At 39.0% G+C, this 15,150-nt stretch overlaps 1 protein-coding gene across 7 annotated transcripts in view; it reads left to right on the forward strand.

Annotated features, from left to right (window-relative positions):
- The window catches only part of ELP3 (elongator acetyltransferase complex subunit 3), a 100,922-nt gene that overhangs the window by 33,593 nt on the left and 52,179 nt on the right, over positions 1 to 15,150 (forward strand). For all 7 annotated transcript variants that reach the window (XM_024447184.2, NM_001284222.2, NM_018091.6 and 4 more), the window contains 3 exons: positions 5,678 to 5,839; positions 8,454 to 8,580; positions 13,874 to 14,067. In XM_024447184.2, the coding sequence (XP_024302952.1) occupies positions 5,678 to 5,839; positions 8,454 to 8,580; positions 13,874 to 14,067 (483 nt within the window). The remainder of the gene's footprint in view (positions 1 to 5,677; positions 5,840 to 8,453; positions 8,581 to 13,873; positions 14,068 to 15,150) is intronic.

Raw genomic sequence — 15,150 nt, forward strand, 5'->3', positions numbered from 1 at the left:
GCCGTCATGTGCTTACTGTTTGCCCTGTGTATTATCCTTTTCCATACATTTGCTTTCCACCCATGTTTCTTTATCTTGAAAATGCATTTCTTTAGACAGAAGTCTACAGTAATTGGCTCTTTTTTTTTTTATCCATTTTGCTCGTGTGTGCCTTTTAATTGGAGTGTTTAGTCTGTTAACATTTGATGTAATTATTGATACATCAGTTTAAGCTGATGGTTTGATTTATATCTGCCAGTTTAATCATCTCCTCACTTTGGTTTTCAGTAGCCAAGAATAATAGTTGTAATGAATACTATTATGGTCTAATTCTTTATAATGTATTTTTTCTATATCCTTTAATAGGGAATATCTTCTTAAGAGAAAGGTAGAGGACTCCTTATATCTAGTACAATGCCTTAAGCATAGAATTCTGGTACTTAATAAATGCTAAGTGAATGCGGTGGAAAGAACTGTCCCTTAAGAATCAGGAGACATAGTCTCCAGACTTATTTATATTATTATTTTGCATTATTACCTGGTTTAATCCACTTATTTTGTGTGTGTGATTTAGTTTCCTCATCTATAAAAATGAGGAGGTTTAGGACTATATTATCTCTAAAATTATACCTTTCTGTCATCTATGATTTGAAGCTTTCTAATGAAGAGAATTTTTATCTAAAAGATATGTTCACAAGTTATTCTTCATTTAGCAACCACTTTCTGACAATCATTTTCTATAATGTTTTTATGTATATAACCCTTAAATTTCAATGTGGATATAATATTAAAAGAATGCAATATCTGTGATTCTTTTTTTCTTTTCTATTAATAATGTGTTGCTGCTGGTTCTTTAGCTACACGAGGGGACTACAAAATGATAGTTTTTGTCAGCCATGAAAAAAATCAAACCTCAAACAAAATGTTATAAGCTGTTTTTATATATCTTAAGCCCTGCCAGCTAATGTGATAGGGCACAAGGGTCTTTGATTAGTCTGTAAGCTGCAGTGCCACCAGGTTGGTTTTTCATAGGTAGTACTCATTTTTAAATCAAAATTCTGTCGTTACTTCATTTTGTGTTGGGCGTGGTTAATTTATAGAACCTCATGATATAACCACCAATATCGAGGAAGCAGACTTGACTACCATCTCAAAAAAAGATTGGGGGTAATAGTTATTTTTAAATCCTCAAGCACATCAAACATCCAACTCAGTTAAGTCTAGAGCATCACTAGCAGAGCATTGGGCAGAACTTCAAATTTTATTGAGGTATTTTCAAGATAGGGTAATAGTTAAGAAGAGGAATTTGTTCATGGTGCTGCTGCCAAGGAGTTACACCAATAACTCAAGGTGTTATCAACAATTCAAACAAATCTGGCTGTTCAAAGAAGTGAGTAAACTCCACTGACTTGTTTTGGGACCGTAGATGGAGAAGAGATTGTATGTTGTGACTAACGAAAATGAATATTTCATCTCTGTACCATTTTTTACTGTGCAATTTGGTTTGAACAGGTTGAGTATGAGGTTGCAGCATGTCCACACAGGGAATGTTCTGTAAGCCATTCAGCAACTTGAGCCTTGAGTTCTTGTGAGAGTTTAAGCAGGACTAGACTCAGGCACATCCAGTTGCAGTAAGGACAGAGGTTTTGAAAGAGGAGCTGCCACGAATTATTTGTAATGAGAGGTGCCCACCTCTTTGATACCACAGCTTCTTGGAGTGAAACAAAAGATAGTTTCCAGAAGATAATAAAGAGACTTTAAAATCAGTGTGCTATCTTCCTTCCATCAGTGTCCCCCTGGTTGGGCCCTTAGTGCAAGGAGACAGTAATAATAGATAGTGCTTCTGTCAAAAGGTCGCTTTCTTCTTTCCAGAAATAGAAACATGCTTCCCAAGAAATAATCTAAATCTATTTATATTTCTGCCACTTCTAGCTTTTTGTTCTGTAGTCATTTCTCTTTTTTTTTTTTTTTTTTTTTTTCTGTATGTCTTATCCCCCCAGCTAGATTGTTAAGCATGTCTGGGACAGGAACTATTATATTTTTACTTTCTGAAGAATACCTGGCCTACTGCTAGGCACCTTCTAAGGTTAACTTTTTGCAAGAGGAAAGATAAGCGGTAGATGTATCTGGAGGCTGCTGTTGGAGTGAAGAGAGACCTCCTATGTTCCCAGTTATGCCTAATTCATTTATTCCTTCTTCAAATTTGTAATTTTTTTTTAATCAACGGAGAATTTTTAGTGTTGAAGCCTTTTAGCCTCTAGACATGTTTGAGCCTGCTGGCTTTCAGGGGCTTCCTGTCCAGATGGAGAGACAGACATAACCACAAATAACAAGGCTGACTACTTGTAGTGTGGGCAGGGTGCTTGGGAATGGGAGCACTGAGATCTCACTGAGGGTGGAGGGGTTCTGGGAAGATGTCATTAGGGGAGAAATGTATTGGAGCTCTGTTTTGAAGGCTGGTAGCCTTTGGTTTTTGTTTGCTTTTAAATTCCTGGGTTATTGTCCCATTTCTCTTCACCCCTGCTCCACAATTTTTAAAAATTCTGTCAACGTAAGGTTTTGACTTAAGCTATGCTTCACAGAGAACATAGCATCTTTTATAGCTGGTGCCACTCCTATGGCATACAGAAAAGCGTAGGATTCAACATAACCCCACAGTGTTGAGCTGTACAGGCTTAAAATGAACCTGTAATACCACAAAAAGAGCAGTGGAATTGGAATCAGAGGATCCCTTTTGAGTCTTGGCCTTGTCTCTCGAGAAGTTGACAGAGTTGCTGCATGCCGAAGAACTTGTAGCCCCCAAAGAGGTATGGGAGTTGAACTAGGTACTGAAGGAGAGCCATGCTTTTGGATGGCTGTCTAAGTGGCACATACTGTTGGATAGCTACCTAAATGATACAGGGGGATCATATTAATACCAGGCCATAAAGTGTCAGCACAGATTGGTTGAAAGCCTGTATGCGCATATTTGCATATTAAAGAACAGTTATGTTGATATATTTACATCTCTGTTAAATGAAGAATCAGATTTGGTGAGATGTAGGATTAGATATAGTATCAAAAAATTTTCATGAGAATACAGTAAGCCTATGGGAAAAATTCATTGTTTTGTCATTCAAATTTGATACAAATTTCTGTTTAATTGCTTTTCAGATGCAAATACAATTCTGGAAAGAGGAAATATAGTGAAAGCCTTTTTATAAATATAAAATATTTTTTCAAAACTTGAGTTGTTTTTTTCTTCCACCATTTCTGTTGCTGCAAAAGGTAATGACATTTCCCGCCTGAGGAAAAACATTTTTGAAATGGAGTTAAATTATTATTTGAGAATAAGGTTTCCTTCTGTGGCCTGTACTATATTCTGATGACTTATAAAGAGACCTTGTGCAGCAGTGTCCTCTGTATGTCCTTGGTGGGGCCTTTGACACTCTGCAATAGGAAGACTAGCTAATAAATTTTCTCTTTCCTCTACACAAATTCCCATTTGTGCAATTGCCTCCCCTCTAGTTTTTCCCAGTGATGTAAGCTACTATTATGCCACCACGCTTGCTAACTTAATGGTATCACTTTTAAGAAATACTGCAGGTTTTTTAAAAATACCAGTTGGAATGCCTCATTCTAGGATATTCTCATTTACTTTTAAAAACGTCATTTAGAGCTTTTTGCTTTCTGGGGTTTTTTGGTACTTTTTTTTCAACCTTTGTATGGTGTGCTTTCTCCATAATATATGAATATTTATTTTTATTTGAAAAATGTTTTCCCTCAAACCCAATAATTGATGCTGGAGGAAGGTGTGTTACGTCTCTCCTGTGGCATCATGTACTGTTACTGCGTGCCTTAGTACCCACCTGTTTAAGAGGCACAGGACCTGATGATTCTATTGTTTCAGAGAAGCCAAATTAGTTTGGATCCTGTCTTAGGCAAGATTTGATAAGATCTGAGCCCTTTTTCTGTCTCATAGTTCATCTTTTAGTGACTTTGAACTAGTTGTTTACCTTTAGTCCTGTTGCCTGTGGTAATCCTACCTAAAACCTCGCGGAATACAGAAATAAACAATGCAAAAGAGTTCAAATGTCCAGAATGAAAGATTTGAGAATTTGTTCTCTAGATTGGTGATTCTTAGCTTTCTTAATTATTATTGGCAATAAATAAGTCCGTTTTTATTGACAATTAAGAGTGAAAGAGTGAACCTCATGGAATTAGTTACAAAAATTACAGAAATTTTATGATTTTTACTTTTCAGTAAAGAACAATGAACTTCTTCAGAAAGAAGGAAAATAAATGGGAAATTTTTTTTAAAGGCTTCTCTCATCCTCCCCCCAAAATTGAGAACATTGTAGAAGGGTGCACTAAGAAGAATGATGGGGTTCTAAGAATTGAGAGATGTTGGCCGGGCGCAGTGGCTCATGCCCGTAATCCCAGCACTTTGGGGGGCCGAAGCAGGTGGATCATTTGAGGTCAGGAGTTCGAGACCAGCCTGGCCAACAAAGTGAAACCCCGTCTCTACTAAAAATACAAAAAAATTAGCTGGGTGTGGTGGCACGCACCTGTAATCCTAGCTACTCGGGAGGCTGAAGCACAAGAAATGCTTGAACCCAGGAGGTAGAGGTTGCAGTGAGCCAAGATCGCGCCACTGTACTACAGCCTGGGCAACACAGTGAAACTCCGAATCAAAAAAAAAATTGAGAGATGTTGAAAAGCAGAGAAGTCTGGGGTGGGTCCACGCTGAGTTGTCTAAGCAGTGTGGTAACTGGAATACAGAGCAAGGACTTTGAAGTCAGGTGGACCCAACTTCAGATCCTGACTCCGATTTTATTAGCTCTGTGCCCTTGAACATGCTGTTTACTCCCTTTCAGCTTCAGTTTCATCACTTGTGAAATGGAGGTAATAGGACACACTTCATAGAGCTAGTGGGAGGATTCAGTACTAGAGTGTGTGGCACAGAGCTTGGCCCACAACAGCCTCTGTAAATGTGAGCTCCTGTCGCCTCACTTCACTAGCCCTGCTAGCAAGAGACTTACTTCTCTGCCTCTTTGGCCAGCATTAAGGCCACTAACTGAGACAGCATGAATCTAAAGTGGTGCTCGCTACTCTGATACATGATTTTAGTAAAAGACAAAAATGATTGGTAATTTTGTAAATCATTGCTAAGATTAATAGACTAGGTGAAAAGGCTTTTGTGTATATAGAAGACATTTCATCTAAAATATTCCTATAATCATTACATATGCCCTCCCCCCTTTTTTTTCTTTCATTTAAAATATAGAGTGGGAAATAAATAATGTAGATGGTTTTCACTTATGTGAAAAATGGTTGCTAGGAATTGAAAAATAGGTTTTCACAGTTGAAATCACTGCTTTCAAGGAGATTATGGTTGCAGCTTACTGCAGGAGAATAATAATGATAATGATGATAATAACATTACTATGCTAGCTCAGTCACGTCAATCTTATGAGGTGTAGATAGTGTATTATCCTCATTTTGCAGTTAAAGGAACCGAAGCACAGAGGTTAATAGCATCCCCATGTGCATAGTTAGGAAGTAGCAGAGCCAGGATTTGAACTCAGGCAGCCTGGCTCCAGAGCCTACACTCTTTACCACTATCTCATACTAGGAGGACAGAGAGAAGGCAGTTTTTTGAGACAGAGTAATGTCTTAAAACCTGCAACAGGTTAATTATTTTAGATTTGCTCTACAGGTATTCTGAGAGAAGCCTCACAAAGTGTATTGGAATTACTATTGAAACCAGACCAGATTACTGCATGAAGCGACATTTAAGTGACATGTTGACCTATGGCTGCACAAGGCTGGAGATTGGGGTGCAGAGTGTTTATGAAGATGTGGCTAGAGACACCAACAGGTAAGATGGTGGCAGGTGATCTTGCACAAGTCTTCCTCCAAGTTCACCATTTTCTCTACATTCATACCCAGCCTTTCTTCCTTCTGACCACTCTTAGGGAAAGAAGTATGGGTATTCCTCCTTTTCAGAGTTCTTTCTTCTGTCTGTGTTCTTAATTCCATCCCCTCTTTCCCTCATTTTCAGTCTTTCTCTAGTGGGTCTTTTCCAGCAGCCTGTAAACACACTCATCTCTCTCCCTCTTCTTGTCCTAAGCAGCCTTGTCCATATAGAGAGCAGGGGAGAGGACTCGGGGTTAGTAGTTTAAAGCAGGAGAGAAGGCCAAGAACAAAGAAAAGAGTTTGAATAAAAAGGACATCAGGGTAATGTTTAAGAGATTCATTTTTGTGGAGCAAATACCAACTAGCAAAAAGTTTGGTGATGCCATGGTTGTAAACTTTGAGAAATTTGGGAGTGCAAGAAAAGAAGGAAGTAAGAGTTGTTAGAGCTTTATTATGTTCCCTCTAGAAGTATATCTTTTAGTTGAAAAGAAAATACCCGCGAAAGGTTAACTGTATAAGGAACTTCACAGTTAATTGCTAAATTAGTGGAGTAGGGGAGACAATTGAGAGTTTATTAGGCAGCTGAGATGATTGACCGAGAATTCTAACGGTGGGCTTTGGAGGAAGGATGTGTTGAGTTGGATGTTAAAGGCCCCTTTATTCTGTAGGATTTGGGTAGGTGTGATTGGTGTTGTGCCAGGAGAAGGAAGCAAAGGGGAACTAGGGAAACAAGCACTGATCAGCATCTTAGAAACAACCAAGAGGAATGCCAGGCCGAGGAGGATGGAATTTTCCCTTAAGGAATAGAGATCTGTTGAATATTTTTTAGCATGGGGAAGAATCTCATGGATATCATGTTTAATTAAGAAAGAGTAACCGAATAGGATGCTCTTATGTGGGAAAAGGCTTCAACCAGGGAAACTGTGGAGTGCTGTAGCCTTCAAGGGCTGTGCTAGAGAGACAGTTGTGCAGATGGAGGGGAAGGGGGAGCTTTCTGAAGAATACGACATCTGAGTTGGGACTTCATGGAAGAGTCTGAGTTGGTCAGGTGCAGAAGAGGAAGATTGAGGCAGAAAGAAAATAATGAACTCCTAGAGATGGGAGTGCCATAGCACATTTGAGGAATTTGGAGTGGCTTAGTTTGATTAGAATGTGAAATAGGAGAGTGATAAGAGGTGAGGCTGAAAAGCAGGCAGAGGGGCTGATTATTAGGGGCCTGAGGAGTCAGCCCAGGGAGGCTGGACATGAATCTAATGGAGCAAGCCACCAGCACGCATAAAGCTACAATGTGATGGAGCATATCTGCAGCTTAGAAAGATCGCTTACAGTGTAAGGGGCAGTCAGAGAAGAGCAAGTTGGAAGGGAGATCAGGTACGAGGCTGTTACAGAAATTAAGCAGGAAATACTGATGTCCTGGAAAGAAGTGAATGGTGGTGATTGGTGACTGATTGGAAGTGAGGATAAGAGAGAATGGGAAGTCAAGGAGGCTTGGAGAGAATGTGGGTTTCATTTGGCTACACTAAGTTTCAGATACCTGTAGAATAGCCAAGTGAAGGTTTGCTTTAGAGCAGGGCTAGGCAATAGACAGTTCAGCAGTGATCAAAATGTTCTGTGCCTGCAACTGAGTTTTCCATTTTAATTCTTCTAAATATAAATTTTAATAACCACATGTGCCTAGTGGCTGTCATTTTAAATAGTGCTGCTTTAAAGTATTGGTTATTTGGGTTTGGAATTCATGAGAGAGGCCTGGCCTTGTCCTAGGAATTGGGAAGTCATCAGCAAAAAGACATTAGAAATTGAAGCCATGGAAATGGTTGGGAGCATTCTGAGAGAGTGAGATGGAGTCTGTGGTTTCTAGGATCCTTCTGCCGTGAATGGGAACACCTTCGTGGCAGAAGGATAGCCACAAGACTTCAGTTTAGTTGCCCAAAACTATTGTTAGGACTTGTTTCCTGCTGGATTGGCTCTAGAATGCCAAGTTAAGATGATTTATCCACGTGACCCCAAATGACTCTGCCTTCTCACTAAGTCATTCTCTCTTTCTACTGTTATTTAAGGATCCTCCAAACCCACCAGTGAAATCTATTTTGTATCATAGGTTTCACTCTTCCTCCCTGTCTACAAATAATTTCACAAGATCTTTAAAGGAAAGAACATAGCAGCTTGCTGCTTCTGCATGGTTTTGAGCTCATTTTAATTTTTAATACAGGTATTTACATTCATAAGCTTATTTTGACTGGTGATGCTAAACCAAATAATTTTAATACACATTAACTTTTGCCATCCCAATGCTTTACTTTCAAGACTTTAAGTAGATGTGTAAGAGAATTTCTGAGAAATATCTCAGAAATAAAGTTATTTACTTCCAGGCCTCCTGAGAGGTGGGGATGTAAAAAATGACTTTCTGAGATGTCTTTTCCCCCAGCCATATGATTTTGGTTATGGAACTTCTGTTACCTGTCTCAGAGATTGTTTTCCCCTTGTTCCTTGTGTTAACTTTGTCACCCATTTATTTGTGTAACAGATGTTACACAAATAGGTAGTGATTTTCACAGGTAGTGATTTTCTTTCCTTAGGGGCCACACTGTGAAGGCAGTGTGTGAGTCATTTCACCTGGCCAAAGATTCCGGTTTTAAAGTGGTGGCCCATATGATGCCTGACCTGCCAAACGTGGGACTAGAAAGAGACATTGAACAGTTCACAGTAAGTGTGACTTCAGCCAGGCGCATTCAGAATGGCTCTGCATGTTTCTTATCCCATCTGGTCTTGTTGCTTGTTCACTGTTGATGTTTTCCAGTGTTAAAGAAATGCATCCTTATTATAGAATATTAGAAACACAGTAGGGTAAGAGACATCACCCATAGCCCCATCAGACAAAACTCTTAACATTTTAATGAATTCTTTCCAAGATTTTTCTATGCATAGGTTTTTTGGGGGGTGAGGTTGTTTATGCAAATATAACACAGACATACAAATATATATGACATAGGAAATTATTGTAATAGTTTTTTCACTTAACATTTTAACAAGCATTTATCCATGTTGTAGCCTGGTCTCTGTTAACATGTTAACATATTTAAATGTCTTTTTAATTTAATATGTCATACCTTGCTTAAACCCTTGCAAGTTTTTCAGAATTTAAGATATACTGGTTTTTTAATATTATTTAAAAAACACTGCAGGTAAATGACTTTATGTGTATAATTTTTTTTAGTATTTAGGTTTATCTGTTTATGATAAATTCCATGGAGTAGAATTATCAGGTAAAGGTAGAAACATTTTAAGAATCTCACTGTATTAATAAGTTGCTTTGCAGAGAGTTATAACAATTTATACTCATTTCAGCAGAGTTTTTCTTCCCAAATAATTCTCTCCTGTTTATTTTCTATATATGCTTATAGATGCATATGCACATATGTACATATATTTTACTGTTTGCTAGTTTGATCAATAAAAGTGCCATTTTAACTTGCATTTTGAAATTGTAATAATACATTTTTCAAGTTTGTATTTACTAATTACATTTCTTTCATCTTTTTGGAATTGTGTGTTTTTATCCTCTGACTCATTATTCTATTGAGATAAGAATATTTTTAGTATTAGTTTATATGAATTTTTTAGGTAAGGAGATTATGGACTCATTGGTTTTTATATTTGTTTTAAATATTTTCCTTAACCTATTGTTGACCTTTTACTTGTGCTTCCATTAAGTCGATCTTTTTTTTCCTTTTTTTTTTTTTTCTTCAAATGCCTCTAAGCTTAGAACTGCCTTTCTGTTCTTTGAATTTTAACTCTGGGTTGTTTTATTGTTGTTATTTTAACTCTCACAGTTTCTTGATCCATGTTAACTTTGTTGTGGGAAATGAGATTGGTCAGGCCTTTTGTTTTTCTTCAGATTCTCCGATAGGGCAAGTGTGTTTTAAGATGATGACGATATTTATCAAGTTATTTCATCTATAAAAGTACTTTTAATTTGCTCTGTTTAGAAAAATGCAGTTTACCATGTCTTATTTGTGAAGTTAATAATTCTTTCCTCTCAAGAAGTTTACTTTTATTATTTTTTAAGCTGGTGAACTGCACCTGAGGACCTGTTTATGAGATAACATTAATTCACAGATATCCCTCTTCGTAATTCCCCCACAATGGATATGTAATAGACTGTGAGTCTAGTATCCTCCCCTCAGTAACTAATAGCCAGGTGCTCAGACACCAGGCCAAAAAGGCACCTGAAACACACTTTTTATTATCATGATTATTATTATTATTATTATACTTTAAGTTCTAGGGTATGTGTGCACAACGTGCAGGTTTGTTACATAGGTATACATGTGCCACGTTGGTTGGCTGCACCCATGAACTTGTCATTTACATTAGGTATTTCTCCTAATGCTGTCCCTCCGCCTGCCCCCCACCCCACGACAGGCCCCGGGGTATGATGTTCCCCACCCTGTGTCCCAGTGTGAAACACACTGTTCTTTAGCACAGCTCCTAGGGAGACCAGTAGGATAGCCAGAACTCATAAAGTTTAAGTGCTCCTGAAAAATATAGTATGTTTCATACTGTAGGAAGCCATAGCAAATAGCTGAGTCTCAGTACATATTTTCCTTGGTGTCTTCAACATAAGGAATAGTTCAGTAATAACATTGCAAGGACAACCTTTCTTGTAAACAGATTTATTTGCTTGTTTGTAGTCTTTGCAGGGAAACTCACAGGGAATATGAGTGGATCATATTTCTTTTCTAACTGCATCCTAGTAAAGAGTAACAGAAGGGAGCTAAAATGAAAAATCTGAGTTCTTTCTAGAGAAGAATTCTCTACAAATTAAATTGTTTTAAAATAAATAAGTTTTAGAAATTGATAAGAGGCAAACAGCTCAGTAGGAAAATGGGCAAAAAACTTGAACAAGCATTTCACAAAAGAGAATATTCAAATAGCCAATAAACCTATCAAAAAGTTCTCAAAGTAATTAATCTTCAAAAAAGCGAAATTTAAAACTACATTTGGTCTCAGTTTTCTACAGCACCTTGGTCTTGTATTGTGGATATAATTTATCTTTTCTTATCTCTCTGAAGAAATTTATTACAGATTTTTTTTATACATTTTATTTTTCTGTATGCATTGCCTCTGTTTCCTCCAAGTGCCTTTTGTTTTCTTTTTGTTTTGGTTGGCCCCTTAATGTACTTGGCTTTCCCCAAGTTTATGATGATCTTCAACCAGTTTCTTATGCCTTTTTTTTTTTTTCCTTGAGACGGAGTCTCGCACTGTCATTCAGGCTGGAGTGCAATGGCACGATCTTGGCTCACTGCAACCTCTGCCTCCCGGGTTCAAGCAATTCTCCTGCCTCAGCCTTCTGAGTAGCTGGGATTACAGGTGCCCACCACCACACCTGGCTAATTTTTTGTATTTTTAGTAGAGACGGGGTTTCACCATGTTGACCAGGCTGGTCTCGAACTTCTGACCTCGTGATCCGCCCGCCTCTGCCTCCCAAAGTGCTGGGATTACAGGCGTGAGCCACTGCGCCTGGCCTAAAGCGATTCCTTATGCTTTTAAGAGTAGGGGTTTGAAAAGCCGGATGGCAAGGCCTGTGTGCCTAGCTTGCAGGCGTGCTTCACTGAAGAATGTTCTTTTAGCAATAAGCGCTTCTTTCTTTATGGGATTCCTAAATGTCAGTATCGTGAACTCTTACGTAGAGCCATTTGATTCATCCAGAGATGAACTCTCCAACTTCCTGCTTTGGGCTGAGTGGCCTGAGTATATCTCAGGAAGTTGGTTGCTGACATCCAGAGAGTAGGGCGGAGAGTCCACCAGTCTATGTGCTGGCTTTTCCCTGTTTTCAGCCTTGGTCTTCATCTAGACCTTCCTTTGTACCTGGAATCTCAGAGCGCAGAGGCTTTCCAGTTTCTCCAGGGACTAAATGTTCTCATCTGCCTGTTCGGGAAAGGCTAAGGGTTAACGGATAATTCCCTCTATGTACACACTTGATCCAGTACCCCTGTTTTTATTTCCATGTCTCTCCTCCATCCTGCCCAGTTCTTGGTACCTCTGATCCGTGAGCCTTTCTGGAACTCTGCAGTGTGATTGAGCAGGCCTTTCGTTACTGTCTCCTTTTGCTATTTTCTTTACTTGCAAAGTCATTCACAAGCCTTCCTAGTTTCTGTCTTTGAAGAATTTGTTGCCATCTTGGGTCTCATTCTTGCCTCCTTTCTTGTTCTCTTTGTTCTTCTGGGTTTATACTTTTTAAAAAATTCTTTCCTGTTCCTTTTTTTTTTTTTTTTCTTGAGATGGAGTCTCGCTCTGTCACCCAGGCTGGAGTGCAGTGGCACGATCTTGGCTCACTGCAACCTCCGCCTCCTGGGTTCAAGCAATTCTCGTGCCTCAGCCTCCTCAATAGCTGGGATTACAGACGCGCACCACCACGTCCAGCTAATTTTTGTATTTTTAGTAGAGATGGGGTTTCACCATGTTAGCCAGGCTGGTCTTGAACTCCTGACCTCAGGTGATCCACCTGCCTTGGCCTCCCAACGTGCTGGGATTACAGGTGTGAGCCACTGCGCCTGGCCCCTGTTACTTTAGTGTGGTTTTGGAGGGAAAGAAAATAAACACTTTTTTAAATTCTCTAGTGTAACTGAAAATTGAGAACCAATCAATTTTCATTCTTTCCAAAGGAATGTATCAGCCTGTATGTCTCCGAAACTTATTATACAAGCACCAGAAATACTTTTCTAAATCCCATGTTCAAATGTAGATTCAGACTGGGTGAACAATGGCTTCCATACGTGCTCTTTGTGGGATGGCTGCAGAATATTTATTAAAGACCTGATGATTCTTTAAAATATAAATGTTACAGGAAAATCACACAATTACAGAAGAAGATCTCTGAAACTAAATAGTACATAAAGAATACAGCATTTAAGAACGTGACAGATGTCAATGAGAGATGGAAAAGTCTATTGTTATATTTCTTTGTAAAGCAAGTTAAACAATGAAGAGCTTTGGAAGACTAATGTGGCAAAGATAAAAAGTATTTTTCCAGTTTACAAGATAGAGCCCTGCCAGCTGAGTAGATACTCCCACCAAGGTGGGAGTGAGAGGGGACTGTGAGTCCACTTTCATTTCTCCAAAATATATTATGCAAAACAAGATTAGAGCAAATTATCAGTGCAAAGTCATGGAAAGGAGAATGCCTGGTGTCTCATTGCTACATCCCAAAATAAAGAAAGAAAGCAGCCAGCTGGGGTGATGTAGTATAAGAAATGACTTGCCAAAAGTAGTTGAGTTAGATCTATTGCTCAGTGTCCAGATAACAAATGGACAAGGTGTAGCCCAGGATAGGAATGGTGCCAGTTGGTTTAGGGACAGAGTAGTCATATCCAGGGATCAGCAAACTTTTCCTCTAAAGGGCCCTATAGTAAACATTTTAAATTTTGTAAGCTAGATGATCTCTGTCACAACTTTTGAAATGTAAGCAATTAAGTATATTCCATTATTAAAGAAAGGTATACTCTAGAGGTGAAGGCAGACATTGAATAGATTGTCATGTGATGATAAGAAAGAGGTAATACTGGGTTCAGTGGGATTTTTTTTAAGTGGGACAGCTAGTATTTGAAAGTCAGAGGGGCCTCTCTGAAGAAGTGGCATTCAAACTGAAACCTGAAGATTAGCTAGATAAAGAAAAATTGATGAACTTTCCAGGCAAAGGAAATTGCCTTTGCAGGAGTGGAAAGGCCAGATGGTGAGGGGTGGCATGAGATGAGATTGTGCAGGAGACAAGCTGGAATGGTGAGGGCCTAGTGCAGTCCAGCACACACTTGCTTTGCCCCAGTGAGACTACAGAAACAAGGAGTTTCTGTTCTGTCTGTACGCCCTACCTGGTCAGAAGCAAAGGCTGCCCCAGGGCCTACTGGGTGTGCCAGAGAAGCTGTCAGGGGTTGAGATTTCACCCTCGGTGATCTCTGCATAACTAATGGAGAAGTCATTTTCTGTTCTCTATTCACAGGAGTTTTTTGAGAACCCTGCTTTTCGTCCCGATGGGCTGAAACTCTATCCTACCCTGGTGATTCGTGGGACCGGGCTTTATGAGCTTTGGAAATCAGGAAGATATAAGAGTTACTCTCCTAGTGACCTGGTTGAATTGGTGGCTCGGATCCTAGCCCTCGTGCCTCCATGGACTCGAGTGTACCGAGTACAGAGGTAGTGTGTTATCTTTTATTCCTAAAATAGTTGGTGACTAGTCTGTTTACTATTTCTCATGGAAATAGTCTGATTTCATATTGAGGGTTTTGGATTTTTCTTAATGGAAATAAGATAACTGGAATGCTATCTGTAAATAGGGAGGGATGGAAATCATAGCATGTCTAAGCCACTTTGCCAATAACGTATTTATTTATCTACCCATTCATTCATGAGCCTGGAGACAGAGCCATGACGGTCAATAGGCATGGTGCTTGCTTCCGAGCAGCTTATGGTCTAGTTCAGTGTTTCCTCTTCCAGGTCTGCTTCCATCTAGATGCAGTAATGGGTATGAGCATAAGAAGTGTGGCCGTGTGTGCAATCTCTGTTCTAGAGCCTCTGAAAGAAAAAGTAGCAACAATCACTCTTTACAGATATTAATGTAAATGTGGAGGAAAGGTGACATATTTCTGATGGCTTGAAGAAAACAAAATAATCTGAACTGCTTTCTTCCTAGAAAAGAGAAAGTAAGATCTCATTTACAATCAGGAACCTTATCTACCTATTTATACTTACATACATACATACATATATACTGGAAACATAACATCACAGAAAAATTTTAGAAGCCATAAAGTTACCCGTATACCTACAATCCTAACAAAGCCAATTCCCACACACACATTCCCACCACCCTGCCAAAAACTACCCAGGTTCCAATATTACAAATGCAAGGCCAGAAGGAGACTGCAAATGCATTACAATCAGCTGCTAGAGCAGGACTCCACTGAGCACAGAAACTGTGTGACTGATCATGTAAAGCAATGAACACTGAAAACAAGCCGAATTAACTACTTAAGGAGAATTATGAAGGATATAAAGTAACTGACTTGCTTGAAGGTCAAAGGACATTTACATGATACTTCTGCTGCATACTGATTTCTCAGTTTTAAAATCATTGGCCAAACTGCAGGATCTGAATTGCCTATATGGTCTCTATTTTTAAAAATACACCTAAGAATACTAAGGAGATTTTAATAGAAAAATCAACTGTTGAAATTGCTTGTGTGGCCCTTCCCCTTGTTGTTCAACCCTTCTGAAGCA

This window comes from Homo sapiens, chromosome 8 (genome assembly GCF_000001405.40).
Source record: "Homo sapiens chromosome 8, GRCh38.p14 Primary Assembly".
NCBI classification, from domain to species: Eukaryota; Metazoa; Chordata; class Mammalia; order Primates; family Hominidae; genus Homo; species Homo sapiens.